The sequence below is a fragment of the Homo sapiens genome, chromosome 13 (assembly GCF_000001405.40).
Source record: "Homo sapiens chromosome 13, GRCh38.p14 Primary Assembly".
In the NCBI taxonomy this organism is placed as follows: Eukaryota; Metazoa; Chordata; class Mammalia; order Primates; family Hominidae; genus Homo; species Homo sapiens.
In genome coordinates this window covers 111,006,699-111,008,799 of record NC_000013.11, presented here as the reverse complement: position 1 = coordinate 111,008,799, position 2,101 = coordinate 111,006,699, and the positions used below count along the sequence as shown (strand labels likewise).

At 41.9% G+C, this 2,101-nt stretch overlaps 1 annotated feature.

The window, feature by feature from the left end:
* Nucleotides 1,358-1,487: a silencer, noted in NCBI's record as "silent region_5525". NCBI's record gives its function as "represses an Ori minimal core promoter by ATAC-STARR-seq in GM12878 lymphoblastoid cells {active_cell/tissue: GM12878}" and the evidence as "EXISTENCE:reporter gene assay evidence [ECO:0000049][PMID:35858748]".

Here is a 2,101-nt window from a genome sequence, read left to right as displayed (position 1 = left end):
AAACTTTCTATTCCACAGGTGCCAAAACTATTGTTCCCAGATTAGCTGCAGACAGGAGCAGAGCTTTTGATGGAAATTTTAAAGAAATGGGATCAACATCCAGAAGCATTTCTTCAAAGAATTGCCATGGGAGCTGAACTTTCCCTTTACCATCCTGAAGACAAAGCAGAAGCAAAGAAATGGCTACCGAGGGTGGAAGTGGCCCCGTCACAGCACAAGCAGACTGGCCAAGAGCAAAGGTCGTGGCAACAGTGTTTTGGGATGCTCATGGCATAGTGCCTGTTGACTTCTTGAAGGGCCGGAGAACGATAACATCTGCTTATTATGAAAGTGCTTGTAAAAAGTTAGCAAAAGCTTTAACAGACAGACACCTGAGAAAGCTTCACCAGAGAGTCCTCCTCCACCACAACAAAGGTTCTGCTCATTCCTCTCATCAAGTGAGGGCGATTTTGCGAGAGTTTCAATGGGAAATCTTTAACCATCCACCCTGGATAGGTTCCTTCTGACTTCTTTACTTCCTAATATTTAAAAAATCTGTAAAAGACACCCATTTTTTCCCAGTTAATAATGTAAAAAAGACTGCACTGACATGGTTAAATTCCCAGGACACTTAGTTCTTTAGGGATGGACTAAGTGAATGGTATCATTGCTTACAAAAGTGTCTGGAACTTGATGGAACTCGTGTTGAGAAATAAAATCATATTTTAAACTTTTATCTCTTAATTCCATTTTTTCATAAACTTTTTAAAGTCCTCTCATATGTGAGAAATGTTTCTAAATTACATCTTATAGTTAGTTATCATAGACATATGGAAAGGCTATTTATTTGATTCTATTAATCAGTATATTCATCATCACGCTAAACTTGAGGCTAAGGGTTAATGCTAAACTGGGCCTAAGGATAAGATAGTGGTAATGGTTCTGAAATGTATTATTACATAATGTATAATGTAACAATGTAATTTTCCTGACTTGGATAGGCATTTTGTAACTGTGTGAGAGAAACCCCTCATAAAAAATGCATAAAAAATGTACACTGAGGCCATTTGGGGGCGATGGAACATCATGACCTCAACTTATTCTCAAATGGTTAGGGTGAGGGGAAGCATTTTATTGTAGTGCAAGTGACAATTTTTATATACGCTTGAGATTTTCTAAAGTGCATTAAAAATAATATTTGAATGGGTACAACATGTCATTCTAGTAATGGATGCTCTAAATGCCCTGACTTCACCACTACACAAGCTATGTATGCACTTGCACCCTGATATGGTTTGGCTCTGTGTCCCCACCCAAATCTCATGCTGAATTGTAATCCTCAGTGTTGGGGGAGGGACCTGGTGGGAGGTGATTGTATCATGGGGGCACTTTCCTCCGTGCTGCTCTCAGGATAGTGAGTTCTCACGAGATCTGGTGGTTTGTAAGTGTGTAGCACTTCCCCTTTTGCTCTCTCTCTGTCTCCTGCCCCACCATACAAAGACTTGCTTCCTTCCCATTTGCATTCTACCATGATTGTAAGTTTCCTGAGGCCTCCCAGCCATGCTTCCTGTACTGCCTATGGAACTTTGAGGTGATTAAACGTATTTTCTTCATAAATTACCCAGTCTCAGGTAGCTCTTTTTAGCGGTGTGAAAACAGACTATTACATATCCCATAAAGCTATTAAAAATAACAAAATCCCTTGGCAACGCCTGCTGCTAAGAAAGTGAAGTCTTAAAGAGAGGACAGGAATAAGAGTGTTTAGCCAAGGGCTTTTGAGTGTGTGTTACTGTGAGGTCGGCCAATTCAGGCCTGGTGGGAGGTCTCCCGCTGACAGTACAGTCTCCTATGACTCAGCCTCAGCCAGCGAAGGCTCCAGAACAGTCGCGACGTCCTCGTGTGGAGCCTTCAGTCCCACAGACAGACTCCTTGCCTTGTTCCCATGGCTGCCTTTGGCTCCTCATATAATTTCTCCTCCCACTTGACTTTTCTGGAAGTTAGAATCCACAATCAGCTGCCAAGTAAGATGATTGTGGTCTCAGTAGAACTGCTTAACAAATAATGTAGACGTACTCTTCCAGGGAGAGGTCCGGACAAGCCCCTTTTTGAGCTCCTTCCCAAT